Source organism: Homo sapiens, chromosome 2 (genome assembly GCF_000001405.40).
Source record: "Homo sapiens chromosome 2, GRCh38.p14 Primary Assembly".
NCBI classification, from domain to species: Eukaryota; Metazoa; Chordata; class Mammalia; order Primates; family Hominidae; genus Homo; species Homo sapiens.
In genome coordinates this window covers 198,297,733-198,319,217 of record NC_000002.12, presented here as the reverse complement: position 1 = coordinate 198,319,217, position 21,485 = coordinate 198,297,733, and the positions used below count along the sequence as shown (strand labels likewise).

At 38.2% G+C, this 21,485-nt stretch overlaps 1 long non-coding RNA gene across 1 annotated transcript in view, besides 1 other annotated feature; it reads left to right on the top strand.

Moving 5' to 3' along the window:
• Positions 1-19,855, top strand: part of LINC01923 (long intergenic non-protein coding RNA 1923) — a 75,735-nt gene extending 55,880 nt beyond the window's left edge. The window contains exon 3 of the long non-coding RNA NR_110267.1: positions 17,402-19,855. This is a non-coding gene — a long non-coding RNA (long intergenic non-protein coding RNA 1923). The remainder of the gene's footprint in view (positions 1-17,401) is intronic.
• Positions 9,219-9,513: a silencer, noted in NCBI's record as "tiled region #7560; HepG2 Repressive non-DNase unmatched - State 12:CtcfO". NCBI's record gives its function as "represses a minimal TATA promoter and a strong SV40 promoter by Sharpr-MPRA in HepG2 cells {active_cell/tissue: HepG2}" and the evidence as "EXISTENCE:reporter gene assay evidence [ECO:0000049][PMID:27701403]".
• Positions 19,856-21,485: the final 1,630 nt, after the last annotated feature.

Below are 21,485 nucleotides of genomic sequence, written 5' to 3'. Positions count from 1 at the left end.
CTCTCTACTTATCTTACTATTTTATTCTACATCTCTTAATAAGCTAAATTTTTCACTTTTAAAATGACTTTTCCTGTTCATCTACTACACAGGCTGCAGATCAAATCTCCATAAATTTACAATTGTAAAGAATCCCTTTTACAAGAGCAAAAAACCAGTCATCTTTAATGCATTGGGCTTTTTACAATTATACAACAAATTTTTTTACTTTACTTTTAGAAAAAAAGAAAATATTAATATCTTAACATTTATGTTATGCCATGCAATAAAAACAACTCATAACTTTTTCTCATATTTCACCAAGTTTTCTATTAGAACTTCTTCCTGGCTATTTAAATATGCTTAAACTAATGGTTTTCTGTAATTTGTCTTTTTTCTTTAGAAACATACCGTGCCATTGTCAGTTTTTAAAAAGAAGCAATTTTCTGACTTTTGAGATTGAGTACGTAGGTCAAGGAAAAATGACTACTGTTGAAAACCTGTAATTAAACAGAAAATGCAGCTGCACTTATGAGAAACTAAAATGAAGTTTATTAATACTTGATTCTGAAATGGATTTTTGAATTTTGGGTTAAGGTTTCATTTAGAGCCATGCCTTATCTATACCCTCTTTGCTGATTACTTTTCATAAGCAATATGTAGGAATATAATAATCCTACTTTTATGAAGAAACATTTCTGATCTATTTCCTTTTCTCCTTAAAATATCAATTTCAGAAGTATTTTAAAACAAACTAGTGAAATATTCTTTGTCAATTTGCTTTTCTTTTGTGATTACTCTAGATAAATACATGTTCTCCCCAAACATTAAAAAAGTATGTTCAATAAATACATTTTAAGCACAAATTTTTATGATCATTTCATAAAGGGTAGCCTTTTAGAATATAAAATAATCAAAGCTTTCTTTTTGTATTGATTTTCATCATCATTAATTTTTCTAAATGTGACATATATCATTTCATTTCATTAAACAATACTCATAAAGGAGGTTTACTAAGAATACAAGCTAATTTTTGAATTTATGAGATTACCAGATCTATTTGCTGAGTATACCTCCTATTTGAACAATTCATCAAATTAGGTTACATTTAAAGAGTTAAAATATTTTGTACAAACACAAAACTAATAAACAAATAAAACCATTTAGAACAATTTAAAAAGTCATAATATTTGTCACTGCTTAATTTTAATGGTGCATTTTAACAAATCAAGATAAACACCCTTTAACCTCCCCTACAAAACTCTTGGATTGAAATCTGAATAACATTTACATAAAATTAGGTATAATGTGAAAGCCTTCTTAAAGCAAATGAGAGTACTATAAAATTATTTATGTATTGAAATAGTAGTAATCTCCATTTAGAAGCTGAAGCTGAATGTCAGAATATACATAAATGTTTGCTGCATCTTTAATTATAAAGCTTATGATTTTTCATAAGTATATGTTAAGTGGCACAGCAATATAAAAAAATAGTAATTATTTAACTGCAAATATCTAAAATCTTAAGCTTTGAAACTTAGTTCTACTTTTGAAAAAATAACTTTTTTCTGAGGAAGAATGTTCTTGTTCTGTTTTTGCTTTTGTTTAGAACCATTTTAAACACATCTTCAACCAACGTGTTGATTTATTTATTCTGACTACATGTACTCTAAAACGATGGGATAGTGGCTGGGAGACAGTGATATAAAACAATATACTTTTCAATTACTACAGACTTATGGAAAGAAAGTACTAGGAAGTGAGAAAAGCACCCAGTTTGAGTGGGAAAGAATTACAATAAAACTAGGGCTTTAATGAACACACTCCTCTTTGACATTCTAGGTCAGTCCTGTTATACCTGCGTGGTTTGGTCATTTCTGTTCATTTGTTAATGTGCTAAGGCCCTTGGAATTCTATTTTCCAGATGCTTATATTCCATAGAGGAAAGGAAAACTGATCCATGAAGTTGTTATTTGCATAAAATGCAGAGGCATCTGTCACTGGCTTCTTCCTGGTTGAGTTCGGCATGCAGGGATTCTGCAGCTGCTCTGCCGCAGCATTAGGTCCCCATGCGGGCAGCGAGAGTCAACGGTGAGGACAGCATCTAGGGGCAGGGTGAGAACTTGCTCAGTTCATAATCAGGGTATTTACAATTATATTTTTGATAGGATGATGACATCACTGGTCCTGTCTCTCTCTTTCTCTCTCTCTCTCTGTGTCTCTGTCTCTCTCTCTCTCTCACACACACACACACACACACACACACAACTAGCTCAGATTCAGCCCAAGAACAATTGTAATTGACCACATTTTTCTGTAAATATGTTTCTTATCAAGGTCATGATAAATTAATCATAATCTTGTTGCATAGCGTTAATGTAGCACAGAGGGTGGAAATCGGAAGGCAAGGTTAGGCTTATTCGCAGGCCTTCATTTTAGGGGAGATTTTTGTTTTGTTTGCCTTTGGTTTTGTCTCCTTTTCTCTTGAGTCTAATTAAAAACCTATCAGTGTGGGTATCTTTGTGCCCACTTCACACACTCACAGAAAAGAAACGTTGCTTCTATTGCTAAAGTAAATTGTAAAATCAGAATGGATCAGGCCCGTCATGGTGGCTCAAATAAACTTTAAAGAGGTATACTGCAGCTTCATTATGTTTCAGCATTTATTCCTGCATGACACTCAAACCAACAATTACAAGTGTCAAGTTTAGTGACCAAAAATGTCTACAAACTCCATGACTGCATTGTTGCACAAACCTAGATATGATTTTCCACAAAGATAAATATAAATCAGTTCAAAGCCAAATCATTTGTAATATTTTCCAAAGCATATTTCAAATAGATCTCAAAGTGCCTGATGTGGTAATACTATTTATAAAATACTTGGTATTAGTCTGCCTTCATTTTTCAGTGCCGATATATTCACTATGACCTGTTTCCTGAGGATAGAGTTACTGCAATCTGTCTGACAAGGACTTTGTGAGTAAAATGGCACAAAGAAGCAGGCATAGTAACCAGTTAACAAATTCAGACTTTGAAATAATAACAGTTCTTTGTAACAAACTGGGATAATTGGGCTAAAAGTTTCTCTGATGCAAGTTCATCAGTAAGCAGTAATCAGATAGGAGGCTTCTTTGAAACTTTTCTGATTCATAAATAATATAGTAGTTTACAAAGAGGAAGTTTGTGGGAAGCAGCAGTAAACAGTCTCGCAATCCATCTGTTATTATGGAATCCAGAAGAGCTGAATCAGGATCCACGTTGTTTATGATATAAAAGATGCTCGGGAAATGTTGCTGAAATAATTATTAACCAAAAATGTCATGTTTTTACTTTTTAGAAGTCTGAGTCATATGTGGTTGTGATGAAATGTACCCACCTGTGTGAATAAATGCAGGAAGTTTACCTGGATTAATAATGTAACAGAACACCAAATGCAATTCTTAAAAAGTTTTTAAATAGGCATTGCAGAATGTGTTCTTATTTTTTTAATTACTGGTTAATTTTTCAAAATTACATTCAAATATATTCTTTTTAAGCATAATGTGATTCTTCAGAATATAGCTTTAGAATTCCATTTGATAAAAAAGTGATTAAATTCAGCGCTGAGTATGAAATTAAAATAGCCAAAGCTAAAATTGTCTTTCTACTCTGTCTCTTGACCTTGACCTCACCCCAGTTTTTCTCCTCACCAACAGTCCTAGCACACACACAAACACACACACACAGAGAAAGAGAGAGAGTTAAAGGAAAGGAAAGATTTAGGGTGAGAGTTGCAGTGTTGCCTCCTTTTCAGGTCCAGGAATTATTCCTCAAGACTAACTTTTTTGATACTTATTTAATTGTTCAAAATTTTGCAAAGAACAAACCAAGAAATGTGTTACTATAAAGAAATTTCAACAGTGAGACCTGCCTTGTTTCATATTTACTCTAAATGAAGTCAAAATGTTTTTCCTTGTACATCTTTTTGTCTGAAGCATGATAATAAATACATAAATCCTATCATAGTAAGATAAGCCACCACAGCTGGAAAACATGGTTGGTAATACACAACCAGAGCAGAAGTTTTAACATCCTAAAACAATAGCAACACAATGATGTCTATGGATTTCCAATAATACTAACTTAGAAACGTAATACAATTAATCCATCACTTACCCTAAATTAGCTAGAAATAGATTTTGCTCATTATGGGGAAAATAAACTAAAAACCTAACCAAAATAGAATGCCCATATGAAGATGCAGCTATATTGACCATAAGTAACAGGTATATGGATCTAAAACATTGATCATGCATCATTTTTCTTGAGTTTCAAATTGGTTTGGGTTTTTTTTTTCTGTATTTTATAGAAAACCTATAGAATAAAAATCCACACATAATCCTCCTTTAAGGGCATTCTATTGGGCTAAACCGTACAGAAACCAGCTTGAATAACAAGAATTCGTTATTCTCTGCCTGCAAACATTGACAACAGTGCCATCTTCTGGCTCTATAAAAGCAACTCCTGCATTCTACTTTTGTCAAACTGCTGAAAGTTCTTTCTACCGAGAATGAATAATCCTCAACCAGGTTTTCGAATACAATGGTCTTTATTAACAAGTGCGAGTTTGCGCCTTTATAACTAGGACCAGGACAACTTAACTCCTGTGTTTCTTTTCCTTTGGCGTATATACCTTTGTAAGTAGTAAACTCTTTATTTCTATGTTAATTCTCTTTCTCACTCATCCATTCTTATCTTCAATTTCTGGTGTTTTACTTAACCTTAGCCCATGCCTACCTACTTGCTTAGTTCTAAGAATTTGTTTCTCTCTGTATAGTTCTAAGTATGTGTCTCTATTCCTCTTGTTCTATTTGATCTCTGCAGCTCTATTGGTGATGTTTATTTGGAATTAATTTCATACTTTAATTCTGTACTCTCTAGTATTTCTTTTTCCTATCTCCTCATGGCTTTCTTTTAAACCTCCTCTGTATTTTTCTAACGTTGTCCAAATTGGTAAAATTTAACAATTAGTAAAATGTAAATGAATAGCTGTAATTGCTTTAAAAATCTCATAGCCATAAAATACTATCTGCTGTTGATGAACATTGGAAGAAAAGCTACATCTTTTCATGTACATTCGGCAACAGATAAATAACCAAAATAGTAATGTCTCTTTCAACCTTTCAATATGTTCAGTACAGTTAAACACCAAATGGAGTAATGGTAACATGCAAGGGGAATTCTGCATTTCCCTAACAAGTTTAAAACTGCTATTCAAAGAGGAATAGCAGTGCTTTGGACAGGATGAGTGATCAACAGATACTGAATGAAAAATAATTAGGTGATCAGCTCCAAACAGGGGCACAGGAAATGACACAGGTGAATGGAATACGAGTTTGTAGAAAGGAGGGCAGAATGTGTGGAAATTTCCTAATCAAATGAGTACACAAAAGACATTGGAGCTTTTTTCCCTTCAAAAAAAAAGTTGCATTTTTTTTAAGCACTAAGCTTGTCAAATTTTAATCAGGGAGATAGATGAGTGACAGATGAGGAGTAGTAAATGATGAGAAATTTTCAGCGAGCAAAAAAACGAGTGAAAATGGAGAACAAAAGCTGAAACAGGGAAGCGAGCTAGATGGTAAGGGGAAACAGAGGAGAGAAGGGGAGTAGCCAGGGCGAGACCACAGAAACCCAGGTGAACCAAAGCTCTTTCTTGAACCTTGTGCAGGAAGAAAAGAAACCAAAATACTGATTGTTGCCCAGGGCTTTGTGAATCAAAGTAATGTGCTATCCAGAGCAAAGTGAGGAAAACACAAAAGAACAGATTTGAGGGTCTGCTGACCTGACTTCAATGGCAAGTGAATTATGAAAATTCTTGCGGAAATTATAACCCAGCCACACAATGCCACATGGATGTACCTCCTGCTTCACAATCAATGTATGACAGTGTCACTCTCCTGCTAGCCCAGCAGTTCCCAGACTTTGCACCTTAACATCACTTGGAAAGCTTTTGAAAGTCCTGATGCCCACATCACACTCTCATACAAACTATTTAAATATGACTTTCTGGGGGCCTAGCAGGCATTAGTATACACATTCACAGATCCTCATATCAGTCCAATGTGTAGCACAGTTTGGGAACCACCAAAGTAGACTAAAAATGTTTCCAAGGGCAAGGTCTATAGCTCGGCCCCTTTTGTTACCTTCGGGGTATTAGGCATAGTGGCTGCATTACACACCCTTGTTAAGCGAAAGTAGTAAACATTAGCTTTGGACCTTCCACCTTTGTGTGTGTTTCAGAGTCACGGACTTTCCTTCCTTTCTCCTGAACTTGAGAATTGAATATTTCTGCTTCCTAATCCCATGACCTAGGACGAGCTACTTAACTCTCTCAGCTTTAGTTTCTTCGTTTGTGAAGTGGGCTTTATCACAAAGCTGTTGAGAGGATCAAGTGAGATAATGCGAGCAAATCCCTCGGCTTTGTGCCTGCCAAATAGTCAACGCTCCAAAAATGTCAGCCGGTATTATTATCCATTTATTCATGAGTTAATTCCCTGCCAACATAAAGGATTTTTTAAAAGTCTTTTGAGAAAGAAAGTATCAAGAACTTTATCACAGCAGCCTGAAAAAGGGAAGTCCAAGAGACAAGAGGAAGAAACAATCTTTTTTTGAAGGGTTAGGAGAAAGTTGAAGATGCATGAAGGATGGGATATTTATATTAAATCCAACTCAATGCCTTATATTTTAGCCCACAGCTCCCAATTAAAGAGGGTGAGATTTAGAAAATCAATCAATAATTAACCAGTTGTTTGGAAAAACAGAAACATGCTTCAAGGGAGGGAACATTATAGCAAGTGAAGACAAAGTTTAGGGTCCCTCACTTCTTCCTGTCCCTTAAGCCGGGCCCTTGGAGCCTAGACAAGTGAGCGTGTGCCTGGTGTCCAGTGGCCCCTGTAAGGCAGTGTAGGTGGAAGCTCTCCCATGAGCCCAGCCTTCTGACCCACTTTCAGCTGGTCAACCCAGGAGACCTCACTTTGTCTTCTTGTGGCCAGAAATTCATCCTGAAATAGAGCAATTCTGAAAATGGGAGACTCTGATTTTTAACTGCCCCTGCCGGCCTCTGTGCTAGAGTTTTGCAGACCCCGTACAAGTTGTCCGATTGCAAAGAACTCAGTTATTGCAGCCTAAGTGAGGGGTGGGCACAGCAGCAGAAGTGTTGGGGCAGGGATGCCAGGGCAGAAGAAATTGCACTGTGAACAGGGCGACAGCTTATAATTGAGTTAAATGTATTATCTTTAAGCGGTTGAAGTCTGAAAGGCAAATTAACCTAAGAAGCCCTCCATAACCATTATGGTGGGGTAAAAAGCAGATCACTCTAGGTAGGAAGGGTTTCATCAGAGGCCAGGAAAACTAGATGATTGGCCATTATGTGTAAATTGGAATCTGTTTTCACAATAATCAACTTGTTAATTTTCAATGAAATTATTTCAAAGAAATTTTAGCATTTCCTGAACTCTCTTTATTTGCTTCTATCCTTTTCTTTCACCAGATGGACATAATGTCAATGTTTAAAAGGAAGTATTTATGCCTTTCTTTCAACAGTTAATTATTACCTGTCAGGCAGCTGAAGATATCAGGCAAGGCTAAGCAAAGTAAAATGTGTCACTTTTCCAGGCAGAAATTCACCCACTCAACAAATGTATATTGAGTACCTGATGTGTGCAGGGCACAGAGCTTGTTTCACTGAAAGCTGGTCAGTAAACTCAGAAAGAGAGAGAGCCCATTGCCCTCCACCATTCTAAACTTACACAAGCAAGGAACCAAGATGTTATGGATTGGACTGTGTCTCCCCAAAATGTATCTGTTGAAGCGCTAACCTTCATTATCTAAGAATAAGACCATATGTGGAGATAAAGCAGGGGTCCCTAAACCACTTCCCACCCCTCCCTACCACAGACCAGTACCAGTGTGTGGCCAGTTAGGAACCGAGCTGCACAACAGGAGGTGAGCAGCTAGCAAAGTGTCATCTGTATTTACAGCGGCTCCCCATTGTTTGCATTACCGCCTGAGCTCCTCCTCCTGTCAGATCAGCAGCAGCATTAGATTCTCAGAGGAGTGCCAACCCTATTGTGAACTGCGCATGTGAGGGATCCAGGTTGTGTGCTCCTTTTGAGAATCTAATGACTGATGATCTGTCACTGTCTCCCATCACCCCCCAGATGGGACCATCTACTTGCAGGAAAACAAGCTCAGGGCTCCCACTGATTCTATGTTATGGTGAGTTGTATAATTATTTCTTTATATATTACAATGTAATAATAGAAATAAAGTGCACAATAAATGTAATATGCTTGAATCATCCCCAAACCATCCCCTCCCACCCCACCCATTTGTGGAAAAATTTTCTGCCACAGAACCAGTCCCTGGTGCCAAAAAGGTTGGAGACCACTGAGTTAGAGCCTTTAAAGAAGTGTTTAAGTTAAAATAAGGCCTTTAGGGTAGGCCCTTATTCAATCTCCCTGGTGTCCTCATAAGAGGAGGAAATTTGGACATGTGAAGACATGCCAGGATTCCGTGCGCACTGAGAAAAGACCACGTGAGGGTATCATAAGAAGATGGGCATCTACAAGCCACGGAGAGCGGCCTCAAGAGAAACCAATCTTGCTGACACCTTGATCTTGCACTTCTGGCCTCCAGAACTGTGGGAAGATAAATGCTATTTATTTAAATAGCATTGTTTAAGCCACCCATTTTGGCTTATTTTGTGATGACAAAAGTATTTCTTTATAGCAGCCCTAGCAAAATAACATATAAGCCAAACATTTATAGGACCAAAATGACTTAGTTCTTCCTCATGCACGGCAAACTCTAGTTCCTTCAGTTATCATTTTGTGTCCTCTTTTTTCTGGAAGTCTCAGCCCTAAATTAGTCCCTGAATCCTCTAGACAAAAACTCACTACTCTTTTCCTGTAACAAAGGAATTTGTATGTATGGGTATGTGTGTGTGTGTGTGTGTGTGTGTGTGTGTGGTAAATATCCCATAATCAAAAACTGTTTCCTAGTGAGTTACAGAGACAAAATGCTTGAAAAAGTATGTGCCATCTTGTTACATTCTCTTAATTCTCTTTAGAGTGAGTACAATAAAGTAAAACTTCATTATATCATGGAATATAGTTTGTACAAAATAGTACTACTTCTACATTGAAAGATTAGTTCTGCCTGGATCCAGTACACATGTCATATTTCTGGAAAGTCATTTGACACGAATCAGTCTAAAAAATAAAACAAGCAGGTGCATAATATATTACCCAGAATAAAATAAACATGGCTTCATTTGTAAGTGCCAGAGTATTCGTCCATTAAATCTCCATCAGCTACTGCATCTTTGGCGCCCTCTTGTGTCCATTTTGGGATAGGTTTTTTTCGTGGAATTTGCGAGCCATTCACCCCACGGCATCTCTAATTCAATCCCTCAAAAATGCAAGCGAGCACTCGATAGAAATCAATCTCTCCTTTGTCTACATAAATTATACCAATTGTAAAAATACTATTTGGTTAAAATATATATTATAAGGTTTCAAATTTTAAGTAAACATTTCTATACCCATTTGACTTCCTGAATATTTGAGCTTTTTTCTGTAGATTATTATAGAGAAAAGTTTTTTCTCTTGCTTTTATAGTTAATAGGTATTCATATTTATTTGTTGATCCTTCAGCATTTTAGTTCTAAAATGTAGGTCCCTTAGGTATCCTTTAAAAATTAATTTTTAACTCAGATTTCCACTGAAAAATATTATGTAAAACATTTTTACAAATCAAACCATAAAGCATGTTCTCTGCCATGACTATATCTGTACAGTTTTGTTTGAGATACCAATTGTTAATACCATCATTGCTATTTCCACCAAAAAGATGAATAAATATAAGCAAATTCCCAAAACATGACTTCATGCAGATTAGCTTAGTACATTGGTGATTACAGTACAAAGGTCACATTGCGTGTTAAAGTTAATTTCCCCAATTCTGATCTAATAAGGCATCCACCTTGGTTATTTCCTTGTTTTGTATAGATATCATAAAATATGAATTGGCATCTATATCACAAATCATCTGGGCCTATCCCTATTTCTCATTACTAACATTTAGTTCAAATACCATTCATCAAAATCTAACCACCCAATTTACATTTATACTGTATTCAGATAAATAACCATGTTCATCTGGGGCATGGGCTTTATTTCTCCTGAAGGCATAATTAGGGCCAGGCGTGGTGGCTCATGCCTGTAATACAGCACTTTGGGAGGCTAAGGTGGGAGGATGGCTTGAGCCCAGGTCAAGGCTGCAGTGAGTCATGATTGTGCCACTGCACTCCAACCTGGGCAACAGAGTGAGACCCTGTGTCTCAAGAAAAATTAAAAAATTTAAAAATAAAGGCATCATTAAATTCCCCAAGTAAATTCATTAAAATTTACTCCGTAGGCAAGGGACTGGCAAACTGACAAATAAGGACTATTTCAGAAGTTTCCAAAAGATGCAAGGCAAAATAAATACCTCATAAGTCATCAGCGAGATGGACAACTGTTGAGAACAAACAGAAGCAACTTTACGCTGGAATCAGCAAAAGCTGCTGTGAGGTAGAACAAGAACGTTTGACAGCAAAGTGTGCACCAGCCAGGGACCTTGGACAGATCATCACCAGCAAAACAGGGATAATTCTTACTGTATCCATTGTTAATGGGATAGCACATAAGAAATACTTAAAGAAAAGGGTATGAGTAAAAAGATGCATTTAATGAATTAATGCAGTTTAGATATTTAATATAGGGTTAGAAGCAAATATACAAATAATGCTTTTATTCTTAGAAAACATCTTTATTCTTTCAGACTCTGAGAATTAGTCTAAAGTTGCAGATAAGTACAAAATTACAAACACAAAGCCAGAATTCACCTTTTTGTGGGGGAACATGGGAAGAAGGTAAAGCAAAGTGTCTGTGATTTTGTATCAACCTGGTTAGGCCACAGTGCCCATTTGTTTGGTCAAACATTAGTCTAAATGTAGCTGCAAAGGTTTTTTTTTTTAAATAAACTTTGAATGAAGCAGATTAACCTCCATAATGTGGCCGAGTCTTATTTAATCAGTTGAAGGCCTGAATTCTACAGCAGATTTTGAAAATGCCAATATTCATAACGGCATGAGCCAATTCCTTATAATAAATATTTCTTACACACACTCTCTTTCTCTCCACACACATACACAACACACACACTCACACACACATCCTTTTGGCTTTGTTTCTCTGGAGAACCCTGGCATACGTAATCCATATGTTTTATAAATATTATATATATTTATATTTATATATATATCTTACACATACTCTGTATGCATATATATGGATGCATGTGTGTATTTCTCATAGAACAAGGTCAAAAGTATCCTTGACAAGGGTACTTTTATAAATAGGTTATAGCGTTCTGGCAAAGCGGGAATTAGTTGAGGATTAAGATGTTACAACCTTCTCCAGGCCTGAATGAAACTATGGCCTGAGATTTTCTAATTCCGCAGGAGCTTGCCTCACCCTAACCTCACTGCAAGGTACCAGGTGGGTCATGCACCCCTCATTACACTGAATCTGCCCCTCCTCCCCTCTCTACTGTCACTCTCTAGCCTGTGACCTCCTTTGCCTATGACAGTGTCCTCTCTGGTCAGCCTTATTCCAGTCCTCCCCACACCCTTCTCCCCAGTGCAACCACCACCTTCTCGCCAGAGGAATCAAATCACATCACTCCCTTAAACCTTTGGGTGGCTGTCACTATGCCTCCCCTTTGTCACTGTCATTCTTTTAAAACATAATTACTTGTATTTCCTCAACCACACCCCCATTGTGTACTACTACACGCCTTTACAGAAGTGGCTACCGCTTCTTGGAATGGTCTCCTCTTGTCTTCTCTTCTCCTTCTCATGCAAATCCAGTACAAGCATTGCTGCGTCTGAAAGCCTTCCCAGCCAACCCCTCACAGCAGAATTCACCACTGCCTCTTCCAGGAGGCTGCTTTGCATTGCATCCTGTGATAATAATCAGCCCCTAGTTGATTCATCTTTGCCTACCAAGCACATGGCCCAGTGCCTGGCACACAGTGGGCCCTTGCAGAGTGATTACTTGAGAGAAGTGAATTGAATTCACCAGATGCCTAGGTGCAAGCTGCCATCCTGACTACCTATTAGTGAGAGGGCTGCAGGGGGTGGGGAAGGTGTCTGTTCACATCCCTAGCTGGAGCCAAGGAAAAGATCTTCCATCTTTCCTTGAGGAGTGGTCAGAAAATCTAAAGTTAATGATCTGGTGCCTGCCTGGCTGGGACAAGGGTCACAGGAAGGCTGTGCCTGGGGAGTGTGTAGGGCTGGAATTAGGGGATAAGAAAGAAGACAGGATATCCTGGACTGACAGAGGAAGTGAACTCAAGAAAAACAGAGGCCATCAGGCCTGAGTTTTTGAGAGAAAGATCTGGAGTAACGGAGAACCTGGGAAGTGGTAGCACAAAATAATGGTGATGATAACAGCAGCCATAAGCAAGACTGAAATAGAATGTGTGACAGAAGTTCAGAGGTAGCAGGAAGAGACAGTGAACGAGAAGATACAATTGGAAAACCTTCTGTTGATGGGCGAAGAGCCGGCAAGTGGAGAAGAGGGTGGCGGGTGAAATATTTTTGTTTTTAAATCAATAACTTGTCTTAAAATGACAACTGAACTTGCTATTAATTAATTTTCATACTCATCTTTTTTTGTGTGTTTGTTTTTAGTTTAGTTTGTTTTGTTTTTTGAGATGGAGTCTTGCTCTGTCAACCAGGCTGGAGTGCAGTGGCACAATCTTGGCTCAAGGGATTCTCCTACCTCAGCTTCCTGAGTAGCAGGGACTACAGGCACCCGCCACCATGCCCAGCTAATTTTTTGTATTTTTAGTAGAGACAGTATTTCACCATGTTAGCCAGGATGGTCTCGATCTCCTGACCTTGTGATCCGCTCGCCTCAGCCTCCCAAAGTGCTGGGATTACAAGCGTGAGCCACCACGCCCAGCTTCATATTCATCTTTCATAAAAGCTTCTTTGGGAATGATAAGCCCTCATATGACACAACTTGATCCTCTCTTTGAAGTGTCTATGAATTTTTCATGGCTTCCAACATTAATTATATTGTTTTATCATCACTTCTCTTTTTGGAAACACTCCTAAAAATGTTTTAGAATGTGGGCATGGAAAAAAATTACATTATCTTAAATTACTATGAATGAAGAAGGTAAGAACATTCAAGGAAATGGCAAAGAGGGAATTAAATGCAGGTTTTTTCCAGGTAACTCCAGCAAACACTAACAAAGGGATGACTTGAGAAATCAATAATCTGGTTCTTCTTTGCCTATAGAATCAAGTTGGTTCAAAAATGGAGCCAAACGTTTTACATTAAGAACAACTGGCATACTAAAATAATTATTTATAAGTAATAACATGTTAGTCTGAAACTTTAGATACCAGTCCTGACTCTCAGGACTGGGAAAACGCACTTGGCCCAGCTCAGAAGCCACTGAAACACTGTGGGTTTGGCACCTCATGTCAAGCCCAATCCCTTTGCTATTTGAGTTCATTTATTCTTGGCAAAATATAACTTCCTGCCCCTAAGAAGAAAGATTTTTAAAGTCTCATAAAAATGATTCCAAAGTTTACTTGGACTTCAAAAGGCTCTTACAAAACAACATTTTTATTAGTTAAATTTATGGAATATGGTGCATAAGGATTACATTTTCTTTTATCTTAAATAAATAACAATTAGGGCAAAACCAATGGGATGTGGAGTTGGGAGAAGCTTGGCAAAGAAAAAATCCACAGGGGACCACTTTGCCATGAGTTACAGGAAAAATAGAATCTCCAGAGAGGGAGTGTGCTCTCTCTAGGAACTCTAGAACTGGGACGCAGCTCAGTTTTTCTTCAGATCATCAAAGCCCAGCGCTTACTACCAAGGGAGATGTCCTTACACTAAGGTCTCTGTATAATAGCTCACATCAGGTCTGGTCCGATACCAGAAGGCAAAAAGAACCTGATAATGTGTATTGCTGACATCTTACTGGGTGCTCATGTTCTTCAAAAGATGAAAAGACCGAGTTACCTTCTCCAGTAAAGGCTGAGCACCAGCAGGAAGAGCTGAGGTGTGAACAGGAAAGCCCCAGGTCATGAGTCTGCCTATTTTCACAGCCTGGGCAATACCCAGTCTCAGAAAGAAGATCCCAGGAATGTGGCTCACGCCTTCCCAATGCCCACTCTACTTGATTATTAATCTTAGATTTTAAGTGCTGGGTTAGGTTAAAAGTCTTGAAATTTAGCGCACTAGATTTATTTAGTATAATAGATCTTTGTTAACCCAGCATTCATTGTGTGACTTCCTGAAGATGCCAGATTGTTTAGGAAAGCAAAAATCACCATAACATTAAGTGTTTACTAGTAATCTGACAACTTATAAAAATTAGTCCCCACTCCAGGAGTGCTCCTGGCTGGGTCCATCCCCACATAAAGCCAAGGCTTTGTTCATTAATTTTTCCCCAGATAGTCTGCTGTTGGAAATGTTGAACAGTATAGTGCTACATGCTGCAAATTGATATAAGTCTTGCAAAAGATGCAGGCTTTCACGGTGCCAGTGAAAGTGACGTTGGTGGATCTGCTGGAATTGCAGGCAAAGCCATTCCATATCCTGCCCTGGAGGTGTCTAAACAGACAGCTGCAGAGAGGGACTGCCTAGGGCCCCAGGTGTGATCACGGAGAGCCTGTGCCAGCAAGGCTGATGGCTGAGGAGGTGGTGGGGAGGGGAAACTCAGAATTGGTAAGCGAAAGGAAAACACTCAGAATGGGTTGGGAACATCCTGCAGGTACCAGAAAATGAGGATAATGTGAAAAATATAGTGACAATGATTAAAAAATCAAAGGATCTGACTTAAGGGAATTCTCATGGAAAAGTTGTGATAATTCAAATATTAAATAATTATTATTGTTACATTATAATTAAATAAAAATAAAATTAGTGTTAGGTATAAAATAAAAATAGTATTAGGTAATTGGAATGATTTGATCTATGAAAGATTGAGTTCAAAATCAAAGTCAAAGGAGAAAAGCTAAAAGAAATAGTAAAAAAAAGGAAACTTATAATACAAAAGAAGAATGAAAACAGGATTTATGTTTGTCATTATTTCATGAGGTAAGGGATGTATATATGCCTATATGTATACCAATGTACATACATATGCATATATGAATTATATGCACAAATTTTGCTGCTATATTAGTTTATAAATATGTGTGTATATAATATATATGTTCAGGGTAAGTAGAAAAGAAGAATGGACAGAATAATTGGGAGTGAGCTGAACTAACACAGAAATAGAAGGAACTCTATCAAGAACAGGAAGGGCTGATCAATATTCTGGTCTTGTATAATAACCAGCGGACCCACATTTAACCTCTGATGGTCACACAAAATGACCAAGTAGAAAGAAGGCTCAACAATGTGCTGCAAATGACAAAACAGAAAGAGGGTCCAAAGAGGAGGGCTCATAAAGCAGACTGACTTCCTCATCTCCTAGGAGCCAAAACCTTTAGATAACCCACAAATTCTTATAATATACTAATAAGGAACACACACGTCTAATGATGCTAAAAAAAAGTAGCTCAGTGAATCATAATGTTAGGACGATGGCTATGTACTGGACCATGTGAAGCTGGAAGGATACCTTATTTCTGGGGAAGACATCTAGTTTCAAAAAATTAAAGCCTATATCCCCGATGAGGGCTGAAGACATAACAAGAAAGCCCTGATTATTAATAGACACTCAACCTAATGATCAGTGTGCAGGCTTGAAGCTCCTGAACTAAATAAGCAGGTCTCACACCCACCCAAGAGTTTTGAACTGGACAGCCAAATCTTGTAACTTCTACTGGTCTGAGGCCACATCTCTTTTTACTTTGGGTTAGTAAATGTATTGCTTACTGAAAGCCTAAGGAGGCAACCTCAGGAATAAATGAAAATGAGGATAAACATTGTGGTGAAAATCAAGATAAGGATAAAACTGTCTGCTTAATTGTTCTAGTGGTAAGTGTGTTGAGCACTTTTAGAACCCTGGTTAGTTTGTGTTTGGTCTGTTTTGAAAGATTTTTAATCTTTGTAAGGTAATCTGATCTGTTAAACTTGTGATTTTTTTTTTCTTAGATGGGGCCATGCTCTGTCACCCAGGCTGGAGTGCAGTGGTGTGATCTTGGCTTTGCAACCTCCACATCCCGGGTTCAAGTGATTCTCCTGCCTCAGCCTCCCAAGTAGCTGTGATTACAGGTGCCCGCCACCACACCTGGCTAATTTTGTATTTTTAGTAGAGATGGGGTTTCACCATGTTTACCAGGCTAGTCTTGAACTCCTGACCTCAAGTGATCCACCCACCTTGGCCTCCCAAAGTGCTGGGATTACAGGCGTGAGCCACTGTGCCCAGCCCTAAACTTGTGATTTTAATTGTTTAAGAGTGTTTATATGTACAAGTATTATTTACATGTTGGGGGAAAATTTCTTTTTAAAGTAAATTCCATAAGTAGTATGTTAAAATTTAGTATAATTGCTTATTTTTTAAAATGCTAGTCATTTGATTAATAATTAAGATTAATGAAGTATTATACAAGTGATCTCGTATACCCTTCCACACTCAAAAGGCCATTTCATGGAGAAGAATCTATCTTTGCTCATTCTAAAACTATGCAAAGTTGTAATCTTTACTTATTTTTTTAAGTATAACTTATTTTTATACATTTCATTCCCTTTTCCTAGGTAAAGTTTCTCGTAAATTAGCTTGAACTTCTTGTACATCAGTTTATGTACAAGGTAGCCTGGGATGGATCTTCCCCCTAATTCTATTTCCAATACTTCCCAGGTCAAAACTTTTTAAAACATAAATAGGGAAGGACATAGCAACGGCTTTTGTAGTTTCTTTTAGAAGGCAGAGCTGAGCAAACTTTTCAATGTATCAACATGAAAAGACATGGCTGGCCAGGTGCGGTGGCTTATGCCTGCAATCCCAGCACTTTGGGAGGCCGAGGCAGGTGGATTGCTTGAGACCAGGAGTTCAAGACCAGCCTGGCCAACATGGCAGAACTCCATCTCTACTAAAAATACACAAAAATTAGCCAGGTGTGAGGTGCATGCCTGGACATTCAAGGAAATGGCAAAGAGGGAATTAAATGCAAGTTTTTTCCAGGTAACTCCAGCAAACACTAACAAAGGGATGACTTGAGAAATCAATAATCTGGTTCTTCTTTGCCTGTAGAACCAAGTTGGTTCAAAAAAGGAGCCAAATATTTTACATTAAGAACAACTGGCATACTAAAATAATTATTTATATGTATTCTATTTCCAATACTTCCCAGGTCAAAACTGTGATCCCTGCTACTTGGGAGGCTGAGACACAAGAATTGCTTGAATCCAGGAGGCGGAGGTTGCAGTGAACCAAGATCATGCCACTGAACTCCAGCCTGGGTGACAGAGCAAGAGTCTGTCTCAAAAAAAAAAAAAAGAAAAGAAAAAGATATTGCTTAGAAAAGTAACTTGAGTCCTGTTGAGCCTAAGTAAAGGACAATAATGGAAGTTTCTAGTCTGCAAAATATGAAGATGCCCCTCAGAGACACAGCTGTGGGTGCCTCTCACAAGACAGATGTTCAGGAAAACTGGGCTGTTGCTCTGGAATTTTCAATGAGTTATTTTACTTGTTTTTGCCTCAGTTTACAGAAAATAAACTGGCAACAATATCTCCTTGTTATTGTGAGGATAAAATAAAAGGTGTGACATTTCTATTTTAAATGTATAAAATGCCGAAAAATTGGAGGCAACTGGAAGGTACAGTAGTGGATGTGAGGTAGTAAGGGGGAAAAAAGGATATGTAAATCACCTAAGATGAAATAGACATTCAGAAGGCCGTAACGTGAAGTGTGAGTGACACTGATTCGCTAAAAATCCTATATAGTGTCTTAAAACAGCAGCAGTAACAACAACAAAGTTTATTTGAGAGGAGGAATTCTGGAAAAAAGCTTCTTTCAAAAAAAAAAAAAGAGTCTTCTAGTGCTCAGACAGTTCGTTCCTCTGCAAAGGCGGGTTACTCTGTTGGGGTCCATTATAGTTCTGAGGATGAATAGGACAGGACAAGGAGATGGTTCCTGGCCCCTGTTCTCCTGCCACAGATCTGTCCCACCTCCCAGGCTCCATGCATACAGTGACAGAGATGGAAAGCCCAGAACCAGTCCCTTTAATGCACTTATTTGCAAAACAAGATGTCACTATGCAGCAGAGTGACAGTCCTTTCCCCTGGAACTGTCCCAGAGTTCTCCAAGCTGAAGCCAGGGCTACATTCACCATCTCAGACTCCTGCTGAGCTAAGTAACCACCCTCTCCTACCTTCTCTTCAGGAGCCCTGGCACCCTTGCTCTGGGGAGAGTTTGAAGAGCAACCTGAAAGTTCCCACAGTTTTTCCTCAAATCTGGGTTTCCATGAGCATGGGCCACCAGTCGGGAGAGCCACATGCCTGCCCTTGCCTGGCTCAAGACTGTCACTCTGTCAGATTCATATCGCTCTCTGACCCTTAGCCTTCCAGTCTGGATCTTGACCTTGAACTGGACTCTGTAGGAAGTTCTTAACATTAAAGGAAGTTATTTATCTCTTTTCAACTAACCCAAGCACTTTCTAGCACCTTTTAGCAGTTTAAGCTCTATGACTCCATTGGATAAAATGCTGGGGAGCAGGACATTGACACAGTCACAGAATATCACACACGGAATCCTCATTCATTCCCCCAGGGAAACAGCACCTGTAGAAGACAAATCTGGTAGACACTACTGTGACAGGTGATTTTATATGTCAGCTTGACTAGGCCACAGGATGTGTAGACATTTGTCAAATTTTTTTTTATATGTCTGTGAGGATGTTTCTGGATGAGATTAACATTGAATCAGTAGACTGAGTAAAGAAGACCGCCCTCCCCAGTGGGGGTGTCCCTCATCCAACCTGTGGAAGCCCTACATAGAACAAAAAGGCTGAACCTCCCCCAAAATACGGTGATCTCAAGCTGCCTGACTTCTGGTGCTGGAACATTGTTCTTTTTCTGCCTTCCGACTCAAACTGAAAATCAGCTCATCTTGTATCCTGAGTCTGCTGGCTTCCAGACTGAACTATACATTGACTCTCCCAGGTTTCCAGCTTGCAACTGCTGGTCTTGGGACTTCTCAGCCTCCATAATCATGCATTAGCCAATTTCTATATAGATCTAGAAATTCATATATATATATGTGTGTGTGTGTGTGTATGTGTGTGTGTGTGTGTACGCATATATATACAGTCATGAATCACTGAGCAGTGGGCATACCTTCTGAGAAATGTGTCATTAGGCACTGTTATCATTGTGTGAACATCATAGTGTACTTACACACACCTAGACGGTATAGCCTACAACACACCTAGGCTATATAGTATAACTTGTTGCTGGTAGATTACAAACCTGTACAACCTGTTACTGTACTGAATACTGTAGGCAATTGTAAAACAATGGTAAGTATTTGTGTATCTAAACATAGCTAACCATAGAAAAGGTACAGTAAAAATACTGTATAAGAGATAAAACATGGTGTGCCTGTATAGGTTGCTTACCATAAATAAAGCTTGCAGGTTGGAAGTTACTCTGGGTGAGTCAGTGAGTAAATGATGAGTGAATGTGAGGCCCTTGGACATCACTGTACCCTACTGTAGACTTTATAAACACTGTACACTTAGGTTACCCTAAATCTATTTTAAAATTGTTTTCTTTCTTCAATAATAAATTACCCTTAGCTTACTGTAACATTTTTACTTGACAAACCTTTTAATTTTTAAAATTTTCTGACTGTTATAATAATACTTAGCCTGAAATACAAATGAATTGTCTAAGTGTACAAAAATATTTTCTCTCTTTATTTTTATTTTATGAGCTCATTTCTATTTTTAATTCTTTTAACTTTTCAAAATTTTTTATCAAAAACTAAGACTCAAACACACATTAGCCTAGGCCTACAGAGGGTCAGGATCATCAACATCACTGTCTTTCCCCTCCATATCTTCTCCCACTGGAAGGTCTTCAGGGGCAATAACATGCAAGAACTGTCATCTGTGATAACAATGCCTTCTTTTGGAATACCCCCTGAAGGACACACCTGATGCTGTTTTACAGTTAATTTTTTTATATTAGTAGAAGGAGTACACTACAAAATAATGATCGAAAGTATAGTAAATACATAAGCCGGTAACATAGTCATTTATTTTCATTATCAAGGACTATTTACTATACACGATTGTATGTGCTAGATTTTTATATGACTGTCAGCATAGTAGGTTTGTTTGCACCAGAATCACCACAGACACAAGAGTAATGCATTGAGTTATGATGCTACAATGGCAGTAACAAGTCGGCTGATAGGAATTTCTCAGCTCCATAATAATTGTGCAAGACTGCCATCATATATTCACTCTACTGTTGACCAAAACCTCATTATACAGCATATGACTGTCTATATATAAACAAAGAACCATATTTTTGAGGAATTTTAATTTTTTATTTAAGAGTAAAGTGTAATAAGGGTAAAGTGTCTGTGATTTGTTTAAATTCTTCAGAAAAAAAGGAAGAAAAACAGGATAGAAAAAACAATACAGCAGAATCTTGCTAAATGAGTGATGCCAATGTCGGCAAGTTGGGTGATGGATACATTGGGGTTCACTGCAAACTTTATATTTGTGTATGTTTGAAAGCTTTTATAATAAAAATTAAATACAGTATATATTAAATATGTATGCCACTTAGCACTTAATCAAAATTTTTTATCTCGCCTTGTTAGATTTTATTATTTTATCTTGAACAAGTAGCATCAACATAGCCTGGGCAATATAGTCAGACCTCGTCTCTACAAAAAATTTTAAAAATCAGCTGAGCAGGCTGGGCGCGATGGCTCACGCCTGTAATCCCAGAACTTTTGGGGCCGAGGCGGGCTAATCACCTGAGGTCAGGAGTTCGAGACCAGCCTGGCCAACGTGGAGAAACCCCGTCTCTACTAAAAATACAAAAAAATAGCCGGGCATGGTGGCGCATGCCTGTAATTCCAGCTACTTGGGAGGCTGAGGCAGGAGAATCGCTTGAATCTGTGAGGCGGAGGTTGTGGTGAGCCGAGATCGGGCCATTGCGCTCCAGCCTGGGCAACAAGAGCAAAACTCCATCTCAAAAAAAAAAAAAAAAAAACAGCTAAGCATAGTGGTGGACCACACGTAGTTCCACCTACTCAGAAGGCTGGGGTGGGAGGATTGCTTGAACCTGGGAAGTGAAAGTTGCAGTGAGCCAAGATCACGCCACTGAACTCTAGCCTGGGTGACAGACAAGACCCTGTCCCCCCCCACCAAAAAAAAACTCAATATAAGAAGTATTGCTGGTGAACATATAGTGCC